Source organism: Homo sapiens, chromosome 6 (assembly GCF_000001405.40).
Source record: "Homo sapiens chromosome 6, GRCh38.p14 Primary Assembly".
Lineage (NCBI taxonomy): Eukaryota > Metazoa > Chordata > Mammalia > Primates > Hominidae > Homo > Homo sapiens.
Window position 1 is genome coordinate 142136204 of NC_000006.12, and position 26674 is coordinate 142162877.

Consider the following 26674-nt stretch of genomic DNA (forward strand, 5'->3'; position numbering starts at 1 on the left):
GGTATCTCCTTGTGCTTTTGATTTGCATTTCTCTGATGGCCAGTGATGATGAGCATTTTTTCAAGTGTCTTTTGGCTGCATAAATGTCTTCTTTTGAGAAGTGTTTGTTCATATCCTTTGCCCACTTTTTGATGGGGTTGTTTGTTTTTTTCTTGTAAATTTGTTTGAGTCATTGTAGATTCTGGATATTAGCCCTTTGTCAGATGAGTAGGTTGTGAAAATTTTCTCCCGTTTTGTAGGTTGCCTGTTCACGCTGATGGTAGTTTCTTTTGCTGTGCAGAAGCTCTTTAGTTTAATTAGATCCCATTTGTCAATTTTGGCTTTTGTTGCCATTGCTTTTGGTGTTTTAGACATGAAGTCCTTGCCCATGCCTATGTCCTGAATGGTAATGCCTAGGTTTTCTTCTAGGGTTTTTATGGTTTTAGGTCTAACATTTAAGTCTTTAAACCATCTTGAATTAATTTTTGTATAAGGTGTAAGGAAGGGATCCAGTTTCAGCTTCCTACATATGGCTAGCCAGTTTTCCCAGCACCATTTATTAAATAGGGAATCCTTTCCCCATTGTTTGTTTTTCTCAGGTTTGTCAAAGATCAGATAGTTGTAGATATGCGGCAGTATTTCTGAGGGCTCTGTTCTGTTCCATTGATCTAGATCTCTGTTTTGGTACCAGTACCATGCTGTTTTGGTTACTGTAGCCTTGTAGTATAGTTTGAAGTCAGGTAGGGTGATGCCTGCAGCTTTGTTCTTTTGGCTTAGGATTGACTTGGTGATGTGGGCTCTTTTTTGGTTCCATATGAATTTTAAAGTCGTTTTTTCCAATTCTGTGAAGAAAGTCATTGGTAGCTTAATGGGGATGGTATTGAATCTATAAATTACCTTGGGCAGTATGGCCATTTTCACGATATTGATTCTTCCTACCCATGAGCATGGAATGTTCTTCCATTTCTTGTATCCTCTTTTATTTCATTGAGCAGTGGTTTGCAGTTCTCCTTGAAGAGGTCCTTCACGTCCCTTGTAAGTTGGATTCCTAGGTATTTTATTCTCTTTGAAGCAATTGTGAATGGGAGTTCACTCATGATTTGGTTCTCTGTTTGTCTGTTATTGGTGTCTACGAATGCTTGTGATTTTTGTACATTGATTTTGTATCCTGAGACTTTGCTGAAGTTGCTTATCAGCTTAAGGAGATTTTGGGCTGAGACAATGGGGTTTTCTAGATATACAGTCATGTAATCTGCAAAAAGGGACAATTTGACTTCCTCTTTTCCTAATTGAATACCCTTTATTTCCTTCTCCTGCCTAATTGCCCTGGCCGGAACTTCCAACACTATGTTGAATAGGAGTGGTGAGAGAGGGCATCCCTGTCTTGTGCCAGTTTTCAAAGGGAATGCTTCCAGTTTTTGCCCATTCAGTATGATATTGGCTGTGGTTTGTCACAGATAGCTCTTATTATTTTGAGATAAGTCCCATCAATACCTAATTTCTTGAGAGTTTTTAGCATGAAGCGTTGTTGAATTTTGTCAAAGGCCTTTTCTGCATCTATTGAGATAATCATGTGGTTTTTGTCTTTGGTTCTGTTTATATGCTGGATTACATTTATTGATTTGCGCATATTGAACCAGCCTTGCATCCCAGGGATGAAGCCCACTTGATCATGGTGGATATTCAATCAGTTTTCTTGAAAGTTTCAATATTAAAATGATATAGAAATATAGTTACCAAATAAATAAAAAATGCTATGGATTATATTGCGCATGGGATCCTTGTTTCTTCTTGGGGAAAAAAAAAACCTTTCTGTGCCCACAGATGTCCTGCAACTATAACTTCTATATTTATCAAAAGGGAACACTGTGTTTATATTAAGTTAGACTTCCTCAATAGCTATGAAATTATTTCAGAGACAATTTTATATTGATTTAGTGTATTTCTTTTTATCTGCCTGCCTTACCAACAATCATTTGATTCATTTGATATTATTTAAAATCCTTATGTATTACTGCCTTATACTGGTAACTTAGTAGGGAAATCAGTATAGTCAAATACTAAGGTTTTCCATTTTTCCTCAAGCTTTATGCAGCCTGTGTTTGATATCATGAATTTCTGGATCTAAGGTTTTCATCATTGAGGTTTTCTCTACATGAAAGCACAGGAGAAAATCCAACTTATCTTCATTTCACAAATAGCTACTGATGTCTGCTATTTAACAAGTACTGCATTAAAAAATTCGTATAAAAAGATCATCAAGATTTAATACCTTTATAAAATCATACTCTAGCACGTGAGCTATAAAATCATACTATAGCAGTGGCATGCCAACAGGGTGGGGACTGGTAAAAATTGTCCACTCTACAAATAAAGGATATTTATTGACTTTCTTTATTTAGAATAACTAACAATTGGTGTTAATAAACAGCAACCTTGTTTAATATTTTATCCTTATTTTTAAATTCTCTATAGATAACATACCCCTTGATTGCCTGCATTCAAGGTGGAATGCTCCCGCCAATCTGCTGACAAACATACACATTTTCATTATGGGTCCTATTTTTCCTGCAACTTTGCAAGGCTGGTACTTTTTTATTGAATGTCAGGCATTGTGTGTTTTATCCTGTTGGATGCCAATTATTTTTCTTCTCATAAATATTCTTCAACTTAGTTCTGGAGCACAGTTAAGTTACTTGGAAACAGATGATCCTTTCTGCTTCCTTTTAAGCTTTGTTATATATGACCAGTGTAGTACTTACTGAAAGGCCAGTTTTGCCCCAATACTAAGGAAGAACTTTTCTGTGTGCTCTATCAGATGTCTATTTGGTGGTTTGGAAATACTATCCTTTCACTAGTCTCAAAAATCTTGAATTCTACCCTCCTGCTGGTTGACTGTGGTGGTGACACAAATTGCCACTGCCATATGAAACAGGTTCTCTCCGTGTCCAAGGAAAGAAAGGAGATGGGGCAAAAGGACCTTCTTCTGGTTTGCCTCTCAGGATTCTTCCCCAGGGAAGATCACTTTTCCAAAAAATCCCACAGAAGACTTCCCCTTAACATTATTGCCCAATCATAGATAAACGCTTGGATTTATTCTTACTCTGATTCATCCTTTAGGGTAGGGCATTGTCAACGTATATCCCTTTATTAAGGGATTTTTCCACTCTGACTTTGGGAACAGCAACTATTCTCAGTCTTGTGTGAATCTTGAGTATTGTTCCTTTTGATCCTTTCAATTAGTTCTTTTCCTGTAAAGATATTTAAAGATGTTGCACTGCCATCAGGACTCACTTAAATGCCCTTTGCAGATCTCTGGAGCTCTCTCGCTTTTCCAGCTACCTTACTGTAGCATCCATTAAAGCCAACTTCCTCGGCCTCCCTGAGCTCTTGATCTCTTCAACTGACAAGGTGGAAGGATGGCATCTCTAAGCCACCAAAGAAACTTTGCTTCCCTCTACTTCTTTGAACTAAACACTACATATTGTTATGTTTAAAGATAGAGATAAGACGAGACAGGTGGTTTAGACAATCTTGTAAATTCACTACCGACCTACTATGATTTCATTTTATTAGTAACTATATCAGAATTGTTAGCACACAGCTATATAGTCCTGAATAATAAATGCTATATATCAAAATTCATATTCCAATATAAAAACTAATTTTTCTGACTAAAATGCAAATATAGTAAAAATTAATAAGAGCATCAAAACTAAACAATATCTAACCATTTGAAATGATATTTAAAAGCATTTCATAAAAAGCTCTTTGGTGAAATAAGGTAATTTAAACTGAAGCTTTTCCGACTATTTATGTGAACAAGAAGTGGGATGCTACATATTAAAACCTATGAGATATGAGCAAATTCGTAGTGCACTGAAAATTGACAGCTGAAAATACATCTATTATGAAAAAGGAAACATAAATGTAATTCAAAAAGCAAACATAAGAACTTATTAAACAAAGATAAACAAAAATAATTTAATAAGGATATAGGTAAAAAGTAACATTTTAGAAAACAAACAAAATAAAATAAATAAATCCCAGATCACTCTTGAAAATTACAATAAAATTGATAAACCTCGGCAAATCAAATCAAGTGTAGAAGTATACTATTATAAGATTCTTGTAATATATGTAAAGTATATTATCAGTTGAAGTATGCTGTGATAACTTTAAGTTGTATATTATAAAATATAAAACAACCAGTTTAAAAAGCCAACACAATTTTGGCTTAACAAGCAAACAAACAAAATTAACTGGAATCATAAAACATTCAATTAATATAAAAGGTGGCAGGAAAGGAAAAAAGAGAACAAAAGCAGGTGAAACAAATAGAAACAATAACAAGGTAGTGGAACCAAACCCAAACATATCAATGGTTAACAATAAATACAAAAGATCCTGGCACTCCAAAAACATAGAGATTGTCTAAATGTATCTTTTAAAAGCCAGACCAAATTATTAACAAGAACCCCACTTTAAACATTTTTAAATATTTAAAGGTTTAATATTTTAAAATCTTGAATATTTTATAGAAAATAAATGGGAAAAGATGTATCATGCAAATCCTAAGCATCAGAGAGCTCAATTGGCTATATTAATATGAGAAAACTCAAGTCAATTTTACAGCAAGGAATGATGACAGAGATTAAAGAGACATTTCATAATGATGAAAGTATAATTTCATCAGGAAGCATAATAGTTGTAATATGTATGCCACCAGTTAATAGAGATTCAGAATGCATGAAGCAAAACCTGATAGATTGAAAAAAGAAATATATCCTATTATAGCTAAAGATTTCAACACTTCTCTCTCAGTAATAAACTGACAAAGTAAATAGAATATCAAAAAGGATATAGAGGATTATAAATTATTAATAAGCAACTTGAACTAATTGATATTTATAGAATACTCCACCCAGCAACAACAGAACAGATGTTCTTTTCAAGTGTGTGTGTAACATTCACCAAAAGAGATCATTTGCTGGCCCATAAGAAAGTCTCAAGGATAGAAATCATACAGACTATAGTCTCTGGTCACAATGGAATTAAACTAGAAATTAATAAAATTAAGATATCAGGGATGCATCTAAATGTTTGAAAAATTAACAACATACCTTTATTAACCCATGGATCAAAGAAAAAATTACCTGGGAAATTAAAAACTACTTTAAACAAAAATGCAAATACAACTTATCAAAGTAAGTGGAAAGCAGTTAAAACAGTGTTTGGTGGAATATTAGAAGTTCTAAATATTATGTTAGAAAAGAAGTTATATTGTGATTTTAACTGCTCACTTTCTGAAGTTGTGTTGCTTTGTTTTTTTTTTTTTTTAAGATGGAGTCTCACTCTGTCTCCAGGGCTGGAGTGCAGTGTTGCGATCACGACTCACTGCAACCTCTGCATCCTGGGTTCAAGCGATTCTCCTGCCTCAGCCTCCCGAATAGCTGGGATTACAGGCACCCGCCACTACACCCAGCTAATTTTTTGTATTTTTAGTAGAGATGGGGTTTCACCATGTTGGCCAGGCTGTCTCGAACTCCTGACCCCGCGATTCACCGGCCTCGGCCTCCCAAAGTGCTGAGATTACAGGCATGAGCCACCACGCCCGGCCTGAAGTTTTTAAAAGATAATTTAAATACAAATTAAATAGAAGGATGCAAATAAAAATACGAGTACAAAACACAGTGATATAAAACCCAAAGACAATAGAGAAAATCAATTAAACCAAAATCTGGTTCTTTGAAAAGATTAATAAAACTTATAAATTTCTGGTTTGATAATATGAGATAATAAGGGAGAAAATGAAAATCATCCATAAGATAAATCAGAAAAGGGACATTGTAGTAAAACCTTGAAGCGATTGTAAGGAAACATCCTGAACAATGTTAGGTCAATAAGTTTTTGATACTTAGATGAAAAAATTTCTAAATTCCAAACTACTAAAAATTGAAAGACATAAACAAAAAATATGACTTATCCATATATCGATTTTTAAAATTTTAAATCCAAAGCTTTCCCATAAAGAAATGCCAGGCCCTGATGAATTCAGTGGTGAATTCCACTAAATGTTTAAGGAAGAAATAATACTCCAAAATCTTTTTTAGGAATTAGAAGAGAATATTTGCCATTTCATGTAAGGAGGCTAGCATAATGTTGATATTAAAAATTCTTAGCAAAAATATATTTACAAATAGGATCCAGCAATATATATAAAAATAATACATCACATTAGGCGGGGTTTACCCCGGGAATGAAAAGTTATATTATAAACACCCATTTATAATGAAACAAACCAAAAACCCTAAACCTCTCACTTTAAATGAGATCTACCTAAGCTTGATAAATAGCATCTAAGGAAACTTACAGAAATTAACAATTTCCCCTGTAGTCTCAAAACAGGCAAGGCTTTCTACTTTTTCCATTTGTGTTTAACGTTGAACTGGAATTCAATAAGACAAAAACAAAATAAACATATATATATAAATATATATTTATGCAATAAGTACAATAACACAAACAATATATGAATTGCAAAATAATAAATCTTTATTCACAGACATGGTCATGTACATAGAAAATTCTAAAGAACGTTCCAAAAAATTAAATTTATAGGCCAAGCACTGTGGTTCATGCCTGTAATCCCAGCACTTTTAGAGGTGAAGCCAGTAGGATCGCTTGAGTCTAGGAGTTTGAGATTAGCCTAGGCAATATAGCAAGACTCCACCTCTACAAAAAATAAGAAAATTAGCCAGGCATGGTGGTGCCTGCCTGCAGTCCCAGCTACTCCAGAGGCTGAGGTAAGAGGATGACTTGAGCCCAGGAGTTTGAGGCTGCAGTGAGCTATGATTGCACCACTGCCCTCTAGCCTGGGGGACGGAACAAGACTCTAACTTTAAAAATATATATAAATAAACTTATGAGGAATAATTTTTCTATAGAGTAATAAAAAATAAAATTTAAATGTAAAAAATCATTTACAATGCAATAAAAAATATGAAATGCATAGTGATAAATTTTTCAAAATATGTGCTAGACCTGTACAATGAAAACTACGAAACAGTGATGAAAATAATTAAAGACTTTTTAATTTTAATTTTATTTTTTATTTTTTGAGACGGAGTCTCGCTCTGTCGCCCAGGCTGGAGTGCAGTGGCACAATCTTGGCTCACTGCCACCTCTGCCTCCCGGGTTCAAGCGATTCTCTTGCCTCAGTATCCCAAGTAGCTGGGATTACAGGCATGTGCCACCACACCCTGCTAATTTTGTACTTTTAGTAGAGCCGGGGTTTCTCCATGTTGGCCAGGCTGATCACAAACTCCTGACCTCAGGTGATCCACTCTCCTCGGCTTCCCAAAGTGCTGGAATTACAGGCGTGAGCCACTGCACCATTTTAAGTGGAAAAATAAACCATGTCGAGTAAGGCTTGGCAGTCTTACTCATTTGTAACTTTAGTCATTATAAACTGATCTGTAAATTCAATATAATTCCAGTCAAAATCCTAGGAAACTTATATAGAAATTGACAAGCTGTTTCTAAAATTTATATGGAAATACAGGAGATGTAGAATAGCCAACACAATTTTGCAAAAGCAAAGGAAAAAAAAAAAACAGACAGAGGACTTACACTACATACTCTGAAGACTTCTTTAAAGGTACAATAATCAAAATCATGTGGACCGGGCATGAAGATAGGCATATGGAATGGGAACAATCAAGAGACTGGAAATATGTTTGCTCGTATATAGTTAGCTTATTGTTTTAAATGTGCTAATGCAATTCACATTTGTGAATACATTATATTCGTATATAGTTAGCTTATTGTTTTAAATGTGCCGGAACAATTAAATATCCGTGTTTAAAACATAAAATGCAATGTTTATAGTGTCTACATGTCCCAGCCATGGGCGGATGGGGTGGCAAATGGTCCTGGCCAAGTTTTCAGGGTCTTCCCTATCATTCTTCTGCGGAAAATTTAAGGAAAAATTATTTCTACTTGGGGGGGATGCTAAAATAATAGGATGTTAGTCTCATGATACTGGAAGCCAAATTTCTACCACATACAGTATCTTAAAAAGATACAGCTATAGATATATATATTATCCTGATTACATTGACTGATGCCCTGTCATTTGCCAACAAGATGGTTCTGACCAAACGGACACAGAATATTTTTATTGTCAGATGATCACACATACATGTGTGTATGTAGGGTATGGTGTAAAACATTTTTTCCCATCAAAACACCTGTCAGCTCTAGTTTCTCTCCATTTTCTTCTTCCTATGGTTGCCCTCACCCCCTATTTTGTTCTACAGCTCTGCCCTCCCCTTACTTGCCAAGGTTCTAGCCCAGTCCTAGAGGGTGATGTCAGATCCTTCAGAAACTGGTCTGAGATGAATGGAGAAGAAGAATGTAGGTCTTTCTAGTAAAATATCATAGTAAAACAAGAAAAAGCAACCTCACAGTCATTAATATTTGTTTTATAGCATAATTTCAATGTGTGTTACACTAACACTGTCTCTGTACTGTTCTCCATCAAATCAATTATCATCTCATGAAAGGGTTAGCATATTTAGAAAGAAGAGAGCATGAGGCTCTTGTCTGTAATCTCAGCACTTTGGGAGGCCGAGGCAGGAGTATCACTTGAGACTAAGAGTTCAAGACCTGCCTAGGCAACAAAATAATAATAATTAGCCATAGTGTTATGTGCCTGTGGTCCCAGTTACTCAGGAGGCTGAGGCAAGAAGATCCTTGAGCCCAGGAGTCCAAGACTGCAGCGAGCTCTGATAGTGTGCTGCACTCCAGCTTAGGTGACAGAGTGAGAACCTGTCTAAAAAAAAAAAAAAAAAAAGAAAGAAAAAAAGAAGGAAGGAAGGAGAAAAGAAAGAAAAGAAAAGAGCATGTGTTGGCAGATCAGAGAGTAAAATCCAACTCCAACCATTTCACTTTCTTATTTTTCCCTCAGTCCTGCTCATGAGGGTATGCAAATAAGAGTACACATGAATGTATGCAAATGAGAAAGAGTGGCAAAATTCACTTCTGAAGGGGGAGATCAGGAGAGTAACAGGAGGGTGCAGCCTTCTACCAGGAAGAGGAACATTTGTTTCTCAGACATAAGATGATGGAATAGAGAAAAGATAAAACATAAGATCTAGAAAGACATCATAGTCAAGTAGTAATGGCTAGGTGCACAGGCTCTGAAACCAAAATACCTAGATTTTAATGTGGAATACTCATCCTTCCTGGCTGTGACCTAGTGCAAGTTATCTAGATTCTATGTGTCTTATTTTTCTCATCTGTAAAATAATAATGATATGTTCCTCATAGGGTTGTGGTGCAAATTAAATAAATTAATATAAAGACCCTAGAAACATGCATGATACATAGTTGATGCTCAGCAAATGCTGCTAGCTAGTTATTATTACTTTAAGTTGTGGTAGAGGCAAGGCAAAATAATTCATATCTGGTGGTGGCCTTAATCTCAATAGCAGGAAATGCTGTTGTAGACCAAGGAAATTGGGGCTGAGTGCCTAGCTTGAATAGAGCGAGAGAAGTTTGAAACACCATCTGTGGACTACAGCACTGGTCCTTAACCCTAGACGTAACATTAAAATTACATGAGGACCTTTTAAAGATACTGACATTTAGGATCCCACCTAGAACAATTAAGTGAGAATGCCTGGAGTGGGCTTTAAAGTTGATCTTTAAGGGCAGCTGCGGTTGAGAATCAAGAAGTAATAGGAAACAAATAAATGAAAAGTTGTGAGTATAGAAAGAAAACAGTTATGGTTATCCAACTCTGCTTTTCTTCATTGATTTCTCTACCAATCTAGCAACTTTTGACTGGAAAGTCCAAATAGTGGGAGTAAGAGAAAGAGAAAGAAACCATACATTCTCCAGTGGTAGGAAATATGCCGCTGAGATTGGGGAAGAAGACAGAACTGAGTTTCAGGCTGAGTAAAAAAGCCCGACCCAGAATAAGATGATGGACTTTGCAAATAGGTCTAGGCAACGTATGTGGAGTGGGATAATATGAGGACATGGAGCGGTTTCTTCTGGGGGTGAGAGAGTGATCAGAAAATAGTAGGCAGAGGGGAATTTCCGAGCTGGAGATTTTGGCTCTTGGGGATAGTGTGATTTCAGTGAAAACTAGTTTTAAGATGAATTGTCAAAACTGAGGACTGAGATAAAATAAAGAAGGTTATTGGAGGAAGTAAATAAAGTGTACAGTCCTGAAAGATATAAGTAAGGGATGGAGAGGAGAGGAAGAGAATTGAAGTCATTGAGGGTAGAAGGAAAAGTGATGCCTACTGTACAATGGTTAAGAGTTACCAGCGTTGAAAACGTCCCAAACACCCTATCTTACATTAAGACAAGATAATAAATATGAAAATACTTTACAAATTGTTAATCACTCTCCAGAAAAAAAAAAGGTGATCTACAGATTATTCATTCACTAAAATACGTACTAGCCAGCTGAGAACAAAAGTTCAATCTTCTTTAAGCTTCATATGTTTAGCTTAATTTGGCGCGAAATCTGATTATTTTATCCAGTATGTCAACATAGAAAAATTTAATTTACAATTTAAACACATTATTTCTCTCTCATGCAAGTATTGAAATTAAAGTTTCTAAAATCAAAAAGGCTTCTAAAGGACACTGCTATATGGAATATTAATGTGGCATATTAACTGGAAGTGGTAATTCCTGAATGACGCCAAAGGCAATTCTCGCCTTTATACTTTCTCCCAGTCAACATACATTATTTTCTTGTTTTTCCTTTTCTATCCTTCCTTTTGCCACAAACAACAAACCAAACAAAAAAGCAAAACAAAACAAAAACCCTTCCTCCTACCAGCAGAGAGCGCTAGCGCCATGCGCGGCATAAGCGCCAAAATGCTCGGGTCTTCTGTGGGTTCTAACCGCCGAGAGCCAAGCACCCTGAGGTTGTCCCAGCTGGGGATCCGTAGTTGACTTGACGTCGCTGAGCAACGGAAGAGTGGGCAGCATTTGCTCTGAACGCTCGTGCGCGCTACCGCCCAGACGGAAGCGGAAGTGCCGGTGGAGCGCGAGTAGGAAGTGGTGAGTTCGGAGTAGAGATGGCCGCGCTTGCACCGCTGCCCCCGCTCCCCGCACAGTTCAAGAGCATACAGCATCATCTGAGGACGGCTCAGGAGCATGACAAGCGAGACCCTGTGGTGGCTTATTACTGTGAGTCTTTCCGAGTGGCCGCGCCCTTTCTTTCCCAGTTGCATTTTAGGGCCCACACACCTCCCTGAGGTTCTTGGGGCATGCCCCGCCCCCCTCGCTTTAAACCTGAGCTTTGACCTCGAGCCTACCCAGGGAACTCCCTGGGTTCCCACCCCCTGGCAGTAGGAATCCCAAAACACCATGGTGTCCACTGCTTCTCCTATCTTGTGCTTAAATGCTCCAGTACTGACTACACAGGCTCTTGAACTGTGGAATATAATCTTCCAAGGTTTTCTCTGTGTGTGTACACACAAGAGCTTCTTGTCTCAAATAGGAATCCTGAAAATAAATTGAGTTAGGTTTAAAACGAAGGTGAGTGTCCGAAAGAAGGAGTGATGTGGATAAAAGGACGATAGACTAGTTGAAAACATAGTAATAAGTGAATATTATTTATGACAGCATGCAAGCCCAATCAGAAACTCATTTGGTTAAATGGGGAGTATCTGCTACTAAATAAGCAGTTGAATTTGACCTTTCCCCACCCAGCTGCTCTCTCCTACCATGCAGAATTTTTAGTTTTGACTTCTTTGAATAATACCCGCTGTTGAGACCTTTGAAAGCAGTATTTTCACTTTGAGTGTTATACGTTGAATTTACAGTTTGATTAAAAAAAATATAGGTTAACTCTGCTCAAACTTGTAGTGAGTAAAGGGAGTGCCAGTAATTCTGTGTTAACTTTATTTTGTATTCTGTACTCTTAACTTTACTGCAAATAAAACAAGTAACTGGACAATTATAATTCTGAAAAGGATATTTAGAGTTGAGAAGTTGGATATAATGCGTCCATTGTTGTGTATATTGTAAGGTTAGCTAAAATCTGGTCACTGTTATCTCTGCCATACTCCAAATGTACCCTGTTTCTCAAATGTGCAAGGCCTTTTCAGACCTACCATCTTCCACTCTCTTGGAATGTGCACCTTTTTCTTGCACTTGGCAAACTCATGATTCAAGATCTAACCCAAATGTCACCACTTCTGTGGGCAGCAAATTGATTATTCTCTGTGCATTACTTCATTTTGTTCAAATTTTACAGCATCATTTTTATTATACTTGTTCTTCAGTTTCCTCAAGCAGGGTCCATATTCATTCAGTATGTGTTCATTGAGCTACCTTTGTATCAAGCATTAGTAGGCGCTGTGACTACATTTGCTGCATTTTTGGAGCTTACATACAATGGAGGTAGAGAGTTTCAACAATATAGAGTCTATCATACATAGAGTATTAAAAGCTTATGAAGACAAATAGAGCAAGGAAAAGGAATAAGAGTATCAGGAGTAGTGGTGGCAGGGAGTGCAGATGGGATTTCAGTTTCATAGTGGTCAGGAACACTTCACTGAATTGACATTTGGGGAAATAAAAGAGTGAAAGGCATACCTTGCACCATCTGGGAAAGAGTATTCTCCATAGAGGTTATAAAAGTCCCGAAGTAGAGGCTTGCTGGAAGGAGGAGTAAGTAGACTATTGTGACTGGAGTGGATGGGGCTTGGGAGTGATGGGATAAGGTCAAAGAATCTCTCATCCCTAAAGGAAATTCCTGTTCCCGATCCCTGTATCATGTATCTTTGTGACAAACCAGGGACACCTTACTCACTGTCGTCCTTTCCCTCTAGATTTTTCTAAACCTAATCCAGTTTCCTTTATTTAAAAATATAACATAAACTCTCACCATATCATTCCCTAAAGTTGCAGCTCTGCTTTTCCAGCCTTATAGGTAAGTTTGAAATAGTTGTCCATAAGTTAGCTTTACGCCTTTATCTTGTAGAGCCTTTCAGCCCATGCAGTCTGGTTTTCATGCCCAGTATTTCACTGAAACTGCTCTCATCAGGCTTATGAAGAAATATTTTTATTGCTCAGGTGACACTTAACAATTTTAGTTATGAAACATGTACATATAAAAGCATATGTAATGTGCAGACAGTTTAAGGAATAATAAAATGAACACTAATATGCCTATCACATTTGATGTTATTAAACTTTTTAATTTTTGACAATCTGGTGGGTGTGAAATGGTGGTGTCTCATTGGAGCGAAATCTGCAATTCTCTGAGTCTTAATGAGGTTTAGCATCTTTTCATATGTTAATTAACCATTTGTGATTCGGTTTTGAAATACTTGTTTATTGCTTTTGCCCATTTATCTGTCACAGTCTTGTCTTAATAATGTTAGATGTTAATCCTTTGTTATATGTGTTGTAAATATCTTCTCCCATTTCAGTTTGATTTTTCACTCTGAAGACCTTTGATGTTCAGAAGTTCTTAATTTAAAAATGTTATCAATCATTGTATGAATCTCTTAGGACTTAACCTTCTGATTTTATAGGCTTTCATTTCTTTTCGTGTATTTGTTTGGGACTTTGGCTTTCTACATCTGTAGATGGGTGTTTTTAATCAATTTTGGAAAATTTTCTCTACTATTATTTGTTCAAATATTGCTTATATTTCTATTCTCTCATAAAAGTTTGATTAGACATGTTTTGCACTTCTCCCATTTAACTTCCTTGTCTCTTGATTCTGTCATTTTTTTTTATCTCTTTGTCTTTCTGTGCTGCATTCTGTGTAATTTCTTGAGGTTTATCTTCACCTCCCTATATTTTATTGTTTAACCCTTTTATTGAATTTCTACTTTAATTTTTTATTTTAGTGTTCTCTTTTGGTTTTCATATTGGCCTGGCCATTTCTGATAGTTTCTTGTTACTGATATTTTTAACCACTCTATTTCTGTGAACACTTTAAATATATGGATTTATGTTTGCTGTTTGATAACATTGTAGCTGCTATATTTGTGGGCCTGATTCTGCTTTTCAACAGAACACTGCTCTTGGTGACTTCTTTCCTTACAATTGTGGGCTAGTCATGCTAGACCAGCGCTCTCCAAACTGGAGTAGGCAAATAATTCCAAAGGAATCAATTTTCCAATTCTTGACTTCCATGTTTTCCTTCCAAAAACTGTTCTTAACAAAGCTCCTGTGGTCAGGGTAGCAAAGTAGTATATAATATGCTGCTTATCTTTTCCTACATCCTGTTCACAATTGTCCTTCTCCCACTTTAATGAAGAACGGCATACTCTCACGCATCCTGAGTGCTTTTATGTTGTATTGCCTTGAAAGAGAAGGTGGAAAATCCTCCAGGGTGTCCAGACAAAAGAGACAATTCAAATTACCCATGTTAGTGAAGCCTCCATTAATTAAGGCATTGGATAGACCTTCCTATCTTTCCTGGTCTTACATTGAAGAAAACCAGCCAGAGCAAAAAATAAACCTTCATTCGGGAGTTCAAGACCAGCCTGACCAACATGAAGAAACCCTGTCTGTACTAAAAATACAAAATTAGCTGGGTGTGGTGGCGCATGCCTGTAATCCTAGCTACTTGGGAGGCTGAGGCAGGAGAATCACTTGAACCTGGGAGGCAGAAGTCGCAGTAAGCTGAGATCGTGCCATTGCACTCCAGCCTGGGCAGCAAGAGCGAAACTCCATCTCCAAAAAAAAAAAAAAAGCTAAGCATGAAAGGTTCCAAAAGAGCATTCTAATTTGAGGGGAAGGAGGTAGAACTTTGTATAAGGGGGATGCAGGGAGTCACCTGGAATTGTATATGGGGGATGCAGGGAGTCACCTGGAGTTTGTCTCTTTTCAGGAACAGTTGGTCAGTGGATCTCCGAAGAGGGAGGAGTTATTCTGCGATATTAGCAGCCATTGTTAGGTCATCTTGGATTTTATCAAGAGGTTGAGGAGGAACAGTTTGGGGCCAAGGTCATGAGCAAGATGATGTGAGGAAGATTAGCTGTAGGGACAGGGATGTGGAGGGACCACAGTGGGAAATCTCAGTCTTTCAGAGTCTCTTACATTTATACATGTATCTGTTAAGGGTAATGCCTTATGTTAAAACCGGTCCTGTGTTGCAGTATTCTGAATTCTCAAAATGATAAAAATTTTCATGAGATGACCTTACTGCCTCATTCTGTATTCATTATTAAAGAATACCAATCTTGGGTTGAGAGCAAAACCAAGAACAAAGGAGAAATACTGAAGATGAGAGTACCTTGTTTCATCCAAACAAGCTCCTGCAAGGCTCTGCAGCTTATTGCTATTTTATAATTAGAATTTAGAAATAAAATGGGGACATGAGTTGACATTCCAACTGGAATATTGTATTTCTCTGAAAAAGTAACTCTTACTTGGCTGATTAGTTTGGTGTTAGCAACTGGCATTGCCATTAAACAGTGTGGTAGACATTCTCTTTAAACTAAATGAGCTAAAATCTTCGGCTCTGAGGTTTTTTGTTTTGTTTTGTTCTTCTGGAAGTACATTTAAAACAGCTTGGCCGAGCACGGTGGCTCATGCCTGTAATCCCAGCACTTTGGGAGGCTGAGGCAGGCAGATCACCCGAGGTCAGGAGTTCAAGATCAGCCTGGCCAATATGGTGAAACCCCATCTCTACTAAAAATACAGAAATTAGCTGGATGTGGTGGCAGGTGCCTGTAATCCCAGCTACTGGGGAGGCTGAGGCAGGAGAATTGCTTGAACCTGGAGGTGGAGGTTGCAGTGAGCTGAGATCGTGCAATTGCACTCCAACCTGGGGAACAGGAGCAAGACTTCGTCTCAAAAAAATAATAAGAAAAAGAAGAAGAAGAAGAAAATAAAACAGCTGATGAGATTGAACCTTATTTGTTATTACTATTTTTTTTTTTTCACTGAGGGATGTTGGAACAAGTATTTCAAGTTTTCCCAATCCTTTCTGCATCCTACAATAAATAAGAAGGCTCTGATTGAAAGAAGATGATGAATCTTTATAATATCTTTTTGCATACATCACAGGAATTGAGAAAATGAGTAATGATGGGGTAACAAATCCTTTTTAATTTTTAAACAAATTTTAAAGTGGGCCTAATTTAATTGTCAGCTTAGAATTTATTTAAAATATTTGATGATAGGTGGTTATATGGTTTTTAGCCTGTAACTCAGAAATAATTTAAAGAATTTGGTGATTTTGCTGTGTAACATGGGAAAAACTGGGATTTGGGGGGATTGTTTTTTGTGAATTTAATTTATAAAAATAAAAAATAACAACAGAACCCCAATAGTCTACTCTTCCTCATTATGGCAATAAATAATATTAATACATAAATATTTGATTTAATTCATAACAATGTAAAATTTCTGTTAAAAAAGTACTTTTTGTATTTTAAAATGTGATAAATATCAAGTTGCTATGATAGTTTAGTTTCAAAGATACAACTTTTAGATGTCAATATTTGATGTAGTATAGAAATCACATTTTTTATACCTGTTTAACCTTCTCATGAAAAGGTGTAGACATCAACATAAAAACATGTTAAGGGATACATTTCTATAATCTTAGAGCATATAATAATTTTATAAATTCCTAGAGCAGGGAAACTTTTTTTTGTGAGAAAAAAATTCAAGAGTATTTTGCTAAACTACTTGCTGATTCATAAAAGCTCCATGGGCTATGTGCTACCCTCTGCCAGGAATCCTTCTGCATTCCTATTAATTTGACTAACTTACTGACTCAGTGCAGATTTTACTTCTTACAGATTATTTTTCATGACCTCTTAAAGATGATCTAGAAATTGTTCTTGTGTGCCCCTCATCACATGTGTTATAATATAAACATCTGTTTATCTTTCAATCTTGATTCTCCTGGAGGACAGGGATTATCTTTTTCTTTTTTTACCACCTGACACATAAATGGAATTTACAAATTCTTAATGAATGCCTCCTCTCTAAATATTACTAATAGTCCACTAAAATGTAAACTCTATGAGAACAAGAAGTATGTCGTGTGATGATCATTGAATGTCCACCTCCTAATATAGTATCTAAGACATGTTAGATAACCTGTAAAACTTATCTGTCGATTGAGTAAACAAACTATACAGTAATTCATAGCTTTTTTTTTTAATGTTCTACCACAAATCAATGACAAAATAGAATGGAAACAATCCTAGTACTCTAACTCATTACCTTACTATGTTTATAATGAATTTTAGATTGAGTCATAGGTCATATTATCATATGATTTACACCTTGTGCCCTATCCTTTCTAGTATTTATATCATTTCCAAAAATGATTCACTTCTGGCCTTAATGGGAATTTTCTAGTGTTTTATCACTTTTTAAAATTACCTTAATATTCCTACATTTCGAAGTTGGTTGGTCTTTTGTTTTCTTTTTAAATCAGGAATGAATGTTGAAATAATGTATATCAAATTACTTTTGGCCGTCTATGGAAATGCTAATAGGCTTATTGTTTATGTGTTTGAACTTTTTAATGTAAGTAGCAGCAAAATAGTAAATTCTCTCATATTTGAAACATCCCTCCATTTCTGGAAAGAATCCCATTAGTTTTTGCATTTTCTTTTAATTAAACTTTTTCTTTTGAAATAGTTGTAGGTCCATGTGCAGCACATGTAGTTGTAAGAAATATTACAGAGAGATTCTGTGTACCCTTTACCCAATGTCCCCCAATGATAATATCTTGCAAAACTATAATAATGTACCATAACCAGAATATTGGCATTGGTACAATTCACTGGTTTATTCAGGCTTTGTCAGTTTTACATGTATTTGTGTGTGTGTGTGTATATTTAGTTCTAAACAGCTTTGTCAGGTGTACATTCCTGTACCCATTACCATAGTCAAGATAGAGAATAATTAAGAATTCCCCTTGTTGCCCTTTTATTAATATAACCTGCCTTCTCCTTTTCGCTACCTCACCCCCATCCCCTGGTAGCCAGTAACTTGTTGTCCATTTCTAAAGTTTTATCATTTAAAATGTTCTATTAAATGAAATCATATATAAGCTTTTGGGATTGGCTTTTTTCATTTGGCATAATCTCTGGAGATTTATCCAAGTTTATTCCTTTTTTAATGCTCAGTAGAATTTCACCCTATGTGTATACTACAGTGTAACAGTTTAATCATTGAAGACATTTAAGTGTTTTAAATTTGTGACAATTATGAATAAAGTGAATATAATCACGTATAGTTTTTGTGTGACCCTAGTTTCCATTTCCCTGGGATAAATGCCCACAAATTCAGTTGCTAGATCATATGGTAATTGCATGTTTAGTTTTATAAGAAGCTGTCAAACTGTTTTGCAGAGCATCTGTACCATTTTACACTCTTATTGGCAACACATGAATAAGTGATAGAGTTTCTCTTCATTCTCACCAGCATTTTGTGTCACTATTTTTAATTAGTCATTCTTAATAGGTACAGTGATATCTCATTGTGGTTTTAGTTTTTATTTCCCTGATAGCTAATACAGTTGAAAACCTTTTCATGTGCTTATTTACCATATGGGTATCATCTTCAGTAAAATGTCTTCATGTTTTTGCTCATTATTTTTGAGTTTGAGAGTTCTTAATATATTATAGTTACGTTATCATTTTGAGATTTTTAGTAACAGCGTTACTCTGGTTTCTTAGATATTGTTGAGAAAATTACTCCTTTTCCTCAAATGTGAGTTGGATTAAAAACGCAAGCAGATTTACCGCTTTCTTTAGATTTAAAAAAATCATTGATACAGCAGAACTTTGTGCTTTTTTATATTTCTCAATTTCTTCCATTAGAAAAATATTTTCCTCTTGAGCCATTCTTGATATAGTAGTTTTCTAGAATATCTTTCATTTCTACTGTATTTTGAAATTTATTAGCTAGAGTTAAGCATTCATCCTAGTTAGTAATAAATGTAAATTAAAGTGGAATAACAATTTTTGACTGTAAAAATATGACTCAGTACAAATGAGTACGCGTTCAGATCCTTGCTGACATGGCTGTGTGATTGGTACAAAGTTTGGAAAGCATTTTGGCAAAATGTAGAGTATCTAATTCAGTAATTCCAGTTTGGGGAAACGTGTTCAGGAAATAACTATACATTTAGTAAGACCTTTATGCAGAATTTCCTGAATGATTATTTATACATTTATGATAAGCTCAAAATAACCTAAAATATATATCATTATGGAAATGGTTAAGTAAATTATGTTATATCCACTGCATAGAAAGTAATGTAATTGTTTAAACATTACAAAGCATCTTTTATAACGTGAGGGAAGGTTTATATGAAAGTGTGGAATACGGAATTATTATACATGCAGTTCCATATGTCTATCTGAAGAAATCTTTGTCTTCAGTGACCCCTCATGATTTGAGTTCTGAATCACCTTTTGTAGTTTTAATCAAATTAATTTCATTTTGTTACTAGAACATTAGGCACTTGGTTGTCTCCAAGCCTTTTAACATTCTACTTTATCTGCCTTGACACCTCTTCTCTTCCCCACCACACTCACTAGATTTTTATCCTTTGGGTACTAGCTTGAAAGTCACTTTCTCTGGGAGGCCTTTTCTTAAGTCTCCTAGTTTTAAGGTGTTTCTTTTTGTTCTTTATGCCTTGGTGTAGCTTTACCGTAATTGCTTTTTCATTTGCTTGTCTTTCTTCTAGACTGTAAACTGAGGAAGGCTTACACTGTGCTACCAGTTTTTATTCATTTACTCTGCCTGGTAGTGCTAGGCCACTAGAGATATTTACATAATAAAGAACAGGTGCTCAAAAAGTGTTAGCCAAATTGACCTGAATTTTAAGGCAGTTGTGGTCCCTAGAGGGAAGTATGGCCATACAGTTGTCACCTAATAAGGCAGACAACTAGCATTCCTGTAGCTGATTGGCATTTTAACAGTGCTTTCTTTCAGGATGTCTGCCTCACAGTCTTTCTGGTCCTTCTGTTACTAAGTGATAGAACCAAGACTCGAATAAACAAAGTCAGATTAAAAAAAACGGTTGAATGAAAAATTGTTGGTAGTAGCTAGTAATTAGAGAACCAGTTATTGAGTGAGCCACAGAGTAACTGAGGGGAAAGGGACTAGTACAATCCATGGCAAAAGAAAAAGGCAAAAAAGCCAGTGAAAAAATCTCGGAGATTCCCCTAAGTGGAGAGTGGAAAATGAAGGAGATGCTTTCTGTTAATAGTATGTCTCTGAGCTCCATCTCTTTATTTTTCTTTAATGAAGCCGGAAAATATTTGAATCTTTACTAAAAGTGGGCACTGTTAGATAAATATTTTGATTCTGCCAGGTTTGGTGCTGTAGATAAAGCTAAACTCAGAACTTTCCCCTTCCTTTTTCAGTTTGCCGTGAGTAAATGTATAAAATTTCAAGTTTCAATTTTTAAAGCTTCCTCTAGGGGGTGACATTGTAAAGTTAATAAACTTCCAGTTAAAGTATACACACAGTCTCAAGAGTCTTCATTTGTTGATATCATCATCAGAAAATTAAATACAGTATAGTTGTTCAGGAAGCTGTAAGTATATATAAAGTTATTTCAGTTCTGAGATGTTACAGGACATACCAGTAGAAAATGTTAATTTAGTGTAAATGCTAAATAACAATGGATTTCTTTATTGATAGATGGTAAACTACATGGATATTAGCATTAACAATCACTTGCTTATGCCTGTACTCCTAGCACTTTGGGAGGCCCAGGTGGGCAGATCACGAGGTCAGAAGTTCAAGACCAGCCTGGCCAATATGGTGAAACCCTGTCTACTAAAAATACAAAAATTAGCCGGGCGTGGTAGCGTTTACCTGTAGTCCCAGCTACTCAGGAGGCTGAGGCAGAAGAATCGCTTGAACCCAGGAGGCAGAGGTGGCAGTGAGCCGAGATTGCGCCACTGCACTCCAGCCTGGTGACAGAGCGAGACTCCGTCTCAAAAAAATGATAATAATAATAACTTGCCTCTTACTATTTTTTGTTGGGTTAATCACATAGAAATTGGATTTTAAATTCATTCAGACAAGTTTAACTAAACCAATAAAGAGAAGCAGTTCCTTTCAGTCTTTGCTGGTTCCTGAATGATAGACTAGAGTCTATAGTCTTATTGCTTGATTACTTACTTTTTTTTATTAATAAGCTTTCTCAGGGTACTTTACTGTAGCATTGACAATAAACACACAGAATGTTGGACTACTGATTTATCCATTAGCCTTCCATTCCTCTTAAGTTTGTTTTTGTGAACATATATGCAAACATGAGTTTTATTTTGTAAAAATTATTTCTTTCCTTTTTGAGTAATGTCAACTCATTTTACATCTCTTTAGAAAAAACCGTAAAGTTGAAGGGGCTGTGGAGTCAGATAACAGATTCTTAACTTTCATTTCTTTTTTGGCATTCATACAGGTTTAAGCATCTTTGATAAGGTTTGTCTTCTATGACAATTATATTTGGTTGTTCAAAGTGGAAGCTTATATACTCTTGAACAGTCAAGGTATATATATAGTAGATTTCAATAACTATGCTTGATATAAGTTCCTACTTTCACTGAAATTCTTCATTGGGCTGTTACATTTACATTTTTTATGTTTTTTTATATTTATTTTTCTGTGGCTTGTCAGATTTTTATGTTTTTACTATTTTGGGTTTTTTTTTTTTAACCTCAATTTATTATTGTTTCTACTTGGTGACCCTTAACAAGTCTTGGAGGAGCAATTCTTTGTTGTCAGGGCTGCCCAGTACCTTTCAGGATATTGCTGTTTTAAATGGTAATAGTACCCCCAGACATTGCATTTTAAAATAGAAGTTAAAAAAAAAAAAGCCTCCACACTTTTGTAGCTCCCCCGAGAGGCAGTATAATTGAAAATCTAAATACCTATCAGTATGGAAAGTTTATATTATGTAACTGTTAAAGATATATGGAGTTACATTTATTACAAAAGCTGCCATAGCCCACAGCATAATGTAAAAATGAAGGGTGCAAACAAATTACATGTTGCAATGTATATAACATTTGTGGTTATATATAATTTTATATGTGTATATGAAGAGAGACATCTTGCTGGATGCAGGGTAAGACTCTGGAGCCACACTGCCTGAGTCAAATCCTAACCTATCGTTTATGGCCTGCATGACCTTATGAGTTTCAGGTTTTTTATTAACATACTCAGGATAATAATAAGATCAACTTCACAAAATTTTTTGGTGGATTAATCAATTTTTCTATTTTTATGTGACTAAATGAATACATGATCCATGGCGATTACTCGTTTGATATTAGTTATTATCAAGTTATTATTATTCCAGTTCAGTGGGATCTTATCAATAGTATATTGCTGGATCTTATGTTTTTATCCATTATAACAACCTCTACCTTTTAATTGCAATGTTTAAAACATTTATAATTAATGTAATGAGTATGTTTGGGTTTAAGTCTTGCTATTGGTTTTCTATGTCTCATTTGTTGTTTGTTTCTTCTTTCTCCTTTTTCTGCCTTTTTGATAATCGAAGTTCTTTTAGAATTCTGTCATACCTCCACTGTGAAGTTACTAGATATTCCTCTTTTATTTTTTTAGTGGTTGCTCTAGAATGCTTACCATAGCTTATCATAGTCTACTGTCTCATAATATACCACCTAATATTTAAGGAAAGATCTTTACTGTCTTTTCCCCTCTCATATCCTTTGCCTATAGTTGTCATACGTTGTACTTATACGTATACCATAAACCTTATATATTTTTTAACTATTCTCTTTTAAAGAAATTTATAAAATGTAAAAATAAAAATTTTTATATTTTGCGACATAAATATCATTTTCAGTACTCATCAAGATCCAAGTTTTAAATCTGGTATTGGTTGGGCATGGTGGCTCATGCCTGTAATCTCAGCACTTTGGGAGGCCGAGGTGGGTAGATCACATGAGCTCAGGAGTTGGAGACCAGCCTAGGCAACATGGTGAAACCCTGTCTCTACCAAAAATACAATAAGAAATTACCCAGACATGGTGTCCCGCACCTGTAGTCTCAGCTACTTGGGAGGCTGAGGTGGAAGAACCATCTGCGCCCAGGAAGTGGAGGTTGCAGTGAGCTGAGATTGTGCCACTGCACTCCAACCTGGGCAACAGAACGAGACCCCATCTCAAAAATTATATAAACTACTTTGGGTAGTTTATATTGCAATGTTCCAGAGTTTACTAATCTTTTCTTTTTTGGTGTCTATACTATTAATCCTGTCCACTGAATTTTTCATTTCAGGTATTATTATTATTATTATTATTATTATTATTATTATTATTATTATTATTATTTTGAGACAAAGTCTTGCTCTGTTGCCAGGCTGGAATGCAGTGATGCAATCTCAGCTCACTGCAACTTCTGCCTCCTGGGTTCAAGCAATTTTCCTGCCGCAGCCTCCCTAGTAGCTGGGACTACAGGTGCCTGCCACCACACCCAGCTAATTTTTTGTATTTTTAGTAGAGACAGGGTTTCACCGTGTTGGCCAGGATGGTCTCGATCTCCTGATCTCATGATCCACCCACCTCGGCCTCCCAAAGTGCTGGGATTACAGGCATGAGCCACCGTGCCCGGCCGATATATATTTTACCTCTAGAAGTTTCATTTGGATTCGTTTGTGTATATTCCATTTCTCCTTTCTATTCATGGTTTTCTTTAAATGCTTTCTATAGTTCTCTAGTATGTTAATGTCACTATCTTCTGTTTTTATTATTTTGTCATTGTTTGATCTCATACTGTTGGCTTATATTTTTTCTTCTTATGGATCACATTTTCCTATCTGTTGGCCTCTTTAGTAATTTTTGACTGGCAGTAGGGCATTGTGAATTTTACATTCTTGAATGTCTGGAGTTTGTCATCTTTCTTTGAAGGGATTCAATCTGGCCAACAAGTAATTTGGAGTTCAGTTTGATTCTTTTGTGTATTGTTTTTTTGTTTATTTTTAGCTTTTCAGGGTAGGTCTAAAGTAGCCTTTGCTCTAGGGAGAGTTTAACACCGCTACAAAAGTATGCCCATCTTGGATTCTCTACTGAATACCCAGGGTAACATATAGAACTCTTCACTCTCTCTGGTTGGAGCTTGAATGCGTTCTAACCCTGTGTGTGCATTGGGAACATTCAACTTATTGAACAGGTTTTGTTCATTCTTTGGCCTTGAGGAGCTTCCCCCTGCACACCATATGTTAGTATTCAGCTGAGTCTCCAGGTTACCCTTCTTCAGATTTCTGGGTTTTTTCCTGCATAGCTCCCTTTTCTTTAGACCTCTGCCCCTTAATGTACAACTGCCTCAGTCTCCCTGAATTCACTCCAGTGTGTTTTTTCAACTCAAGAGGACTGTTTTCTGCTTGGGACTCCTCTTCCTGGGCCTTAGTTTGGCGTGTGCCTCCGGGCAGAATGCTGGGCTGATCATTGGTGCCACCTCATTTGTTTCCTTTCTCCAGGTATCATGGTCTTCCTCTATCTCTGTTGTCTGAAAACTTGTTACATATATTTTGTTCAGATTTTTTCTGTTTACAGTGGGATGATAACCATAGTTACTTCATCAAGGCCAGAAGTAGAATCTGTGTTCTCATTTTAATAATCAAATCATCACTTAGTGTTCGCCATGTGTCAGCACAATAATATCAGAATCCCAGTGATTATCTTTTTATTCTTTGGACAATGAAAAAGCCAGATATTCTTACCCTATACTTTGATTTTCATTACATCATTTAATAGGAAGTCAGGAGTGGCTTTTTCTTAAAATTGTTGTTACGACAGGAGTTCCAAAAGTATTTATTTAACGAAGGGATGAGTGAAGTAAGTATTCTTTATTAGCAGGCATTCATTCATGCTTCCTTCCTTCCCCCCCCCCCCTTTTTTTGGGTCAAATAGTGTGCCTAAATTATTTAATTTGGAAAGTAGTTAGATATGTTTTGTACAAAAACTGTATAATAATCTTTGACACAGAAATCCCTTCACAAAGGATAATACTAACCATATAGAAAAGATCTGCAATATATTTAGGAATAGAATAACATTCAGTTCTATTTTTTGGAATAAAATTTGCTTTTGTGTATCAATATGTATTCTATTGAGTGCCACATTTTTTAACCTATCAAAGCCTCACTCCTCACAGTTGCTTTTATATCTTTTTGCGTGTGTTTTTATCATGCGTATTTCATAGTTTTATGTTCTTATGGATAAGCAAGGATGTGTTAGAATGTTAATGTTCAAATTCTAAGGAACTTTGGATTACATATACCTTCAGAATTAGTAAATGTTTGTTTTCTAAATGTCTCACATTAAATTAAATTCAAGTTGGAAAGTATTTAATCCTTTTGCAAATATGCCTCATTACTCATCATCAAATAATATTTATTCATAAAGATAAACACATTTCCTTGATGAAATAAATCAAATATATTTTCTTATAGATGATTTTAGCTAAATGTTTATTTGTTCTGTTTTTGTAGGTATTTTCCATGTTAGACATTAATTTTTCATCGTATTGCTGCTGCTAGAATGAATTGCTTGTCTCAGAGTTCTTTATGAAAGAGATCCTTTTTTCATCCCTGTGGCAAAAAGATGTTTTAGTGTACTTAAACTGAGTTTTCTTAAGTGAATTCAAGGAATTTTCCTTTTTATTAATAGTAGAAAATGTATCTTATGGTAAATTTTTTGTACTTAAGAATTCTTTGCAATGTAAGATATTTAGAAATATAAAAGCCAGGCCAATTTTTGTCCTAAATCTTTTAATGCTGAGAGGATCCAATTCTTCAATTAAAGATATTACCATATAATAATGTCCTTGTAATTGCAAAGACTACATATGCACACAAACTAAGAAAAAAATGAATGTAGGCCAGGCTAATTAAACTATATTATAATTACACTGTGTTTAACTATTAGTTATCTGGATTAGGTTAACTTCTAAAGGACAAGAAGTGAATATTTTGTTTATATTTGTATGTGCTGCGTTAATTATCTGCATGTTTGCTTAATGGTTACATCCTGAGATGGCTGTCACTAAAGCCAAGGGCAGTCTTAGGAATCAACCTTATTTCTCTACTGTCTAGGTTGTTCCCTATATTTCTTCCCAAAATTGATCTATCAAGTAGCTAACTCTGCTCCATGAATGGTAGGCCTCACATAGTGTTCACTACTATGGTTAAAAAGAGAGAAAGACCTGTGGGGAGATGACACTGTCGGTACCATCCTTCAAATTATTATTTTATCATATTGGCCAGTGTACATTTAGATCATGAATAATTACCTGATGTGTATGTATGATTGGGTAAGTTGGTTGTCTTCGAGATTAAAGTGTGTTTGAAATAGTCATTTGGGATGTTGGGAAAGCAAGTATCAAGCCCATTTGAGACTGATAATTACGATATTTGTAATGATGACAATCTGTCGTCAGTTTCTGCTGCTTGGATGCAGATATAGAGAAAGAAGATAGTTGGGTTTATGTATGAGTATGCTTTTGCCAGAGGGATGTAATAAAAAATTTAGAGGTAGAAGGAGATAGTAAAATAAAGTTCTTAAAATGTAACATCAAAGCTAGTTGCAGAGGGAAGTTAAAGGGGAGAAGACTGATCATAATGAAGAAGTAGTAAGAAGCCAGGGAACTGGAAACCTGTAGTAATGTGCATAGTTGAATG

At 35.7% G+C, this 26674-nt stretch overlaps 2 protein-coding genes across 6 annotated transcripts in view, besides 4 other annotated features; one reads left to right on the forward strand and one right to left on the reverse strand.

Annotated features, from left to right (window-relative positions):
* NMBR (neuromedin B receptor) overlaps nt 1-10919 on the reverse strand; it is a 72639-nt gene extending 61720 nt beyond the window's left edge. For 2 of the 3 annotated variants that reach the window (NM_001324308.2, NM_002511.4), the window contains exon 1: nt 10841-10919. The gene's annotated coding sequence lies outside the window, so the exon portion shown is untranslated. Of the gene's footprint in view, nt 1-6352; nt 6428-10840 lie in introns of all 3 variants that reach the window. The other variant, NM_001324307.2, reaches the window with a different exon arrangement.
* Nucleotides 10789-11083: an enhancer, noted in NCBI's record as "tiled region #1984; HepG2 Activating DNase matched - State 1:Tss, and K562 Activating DNase unmatched - State 1:Tss". NCBI's record gives its function as "activates a minimal TATA promoter and a strong SV40 promoter by Sharpr-MPRA in HepG2 and K562 cells {active_cell/tissue: HepG2 | K562}" and the evidence as "EXISTENCE:reporter gene assay evidence [ECO:0000049][PMID:27701403]".
* Nucleotides 10847-10986: an enhancer, noted in NCBI's record as "active region_25176". NCBI's record gives its function as "activates an Ori minimal core promoter by ATAC-STARR-seq in GM12878 lymphoblastoid cells {active_cell/tissue: GM12878}" and the evidence as "EXISTENCE:reporter gene assay evidence [ECO:0000049][PMID:35858748]".
* Nucleotides 11060-26674, forward strand: part of VTA1 (vesicle trafficking 1) — a 77423-nt gene continuing 61808 nt past the window's right edge. For all 3 annotated transcript variants that reach the window (NM_016485.5, NM_001286371.2, NM_001286372.2), the window contains exon 1: nt 11060-11196. In NM_016485.5, coding sequence (NP_057569.2) covers nt 11085-11196 — 112 coding nt within the window. In that variant the 5' untranslated portion in view covers nt 11060-11084. The remainder of the gene's footprint in view (nt 11197-26674) is intronic.
* Nucleotides 11241-11761: an enhancer, noted in NCBI's record as "H3K27ac hESC enhancer chr6:142468581-142469101 (GRCh37/hg19 assembly coordinates)". NCBI's record gives its function as "activates a minimal SCP1, AML or CMV promoter by ChIP-STARR-seq in naive H9 embryonic stem cells {active_cell/tissue: H9 hESC(naive)}" and the evidence as "EXISTENCE:reporter gene assay evidence [ECO:0000049][PMID:30033119]".
* Nucleotides 19436-20063: an enhancer, noted in NCBI's record as "OCT4-NANOG hESC enhancer chr6:142476776-142477403 (GRCh37/hg19 assembly coordinates)". NCBI's record gives its function as "activates a minimal SCP1, AML or CMV promoter by ChIP-STARR-seq in primed H9 embryonic stem cells {active_cell/tissue: H9 hESC(primed)}" and the evidence as "EXISTENCE:reporter gene assay evidence [ECO:0000049][PMID:30033119]".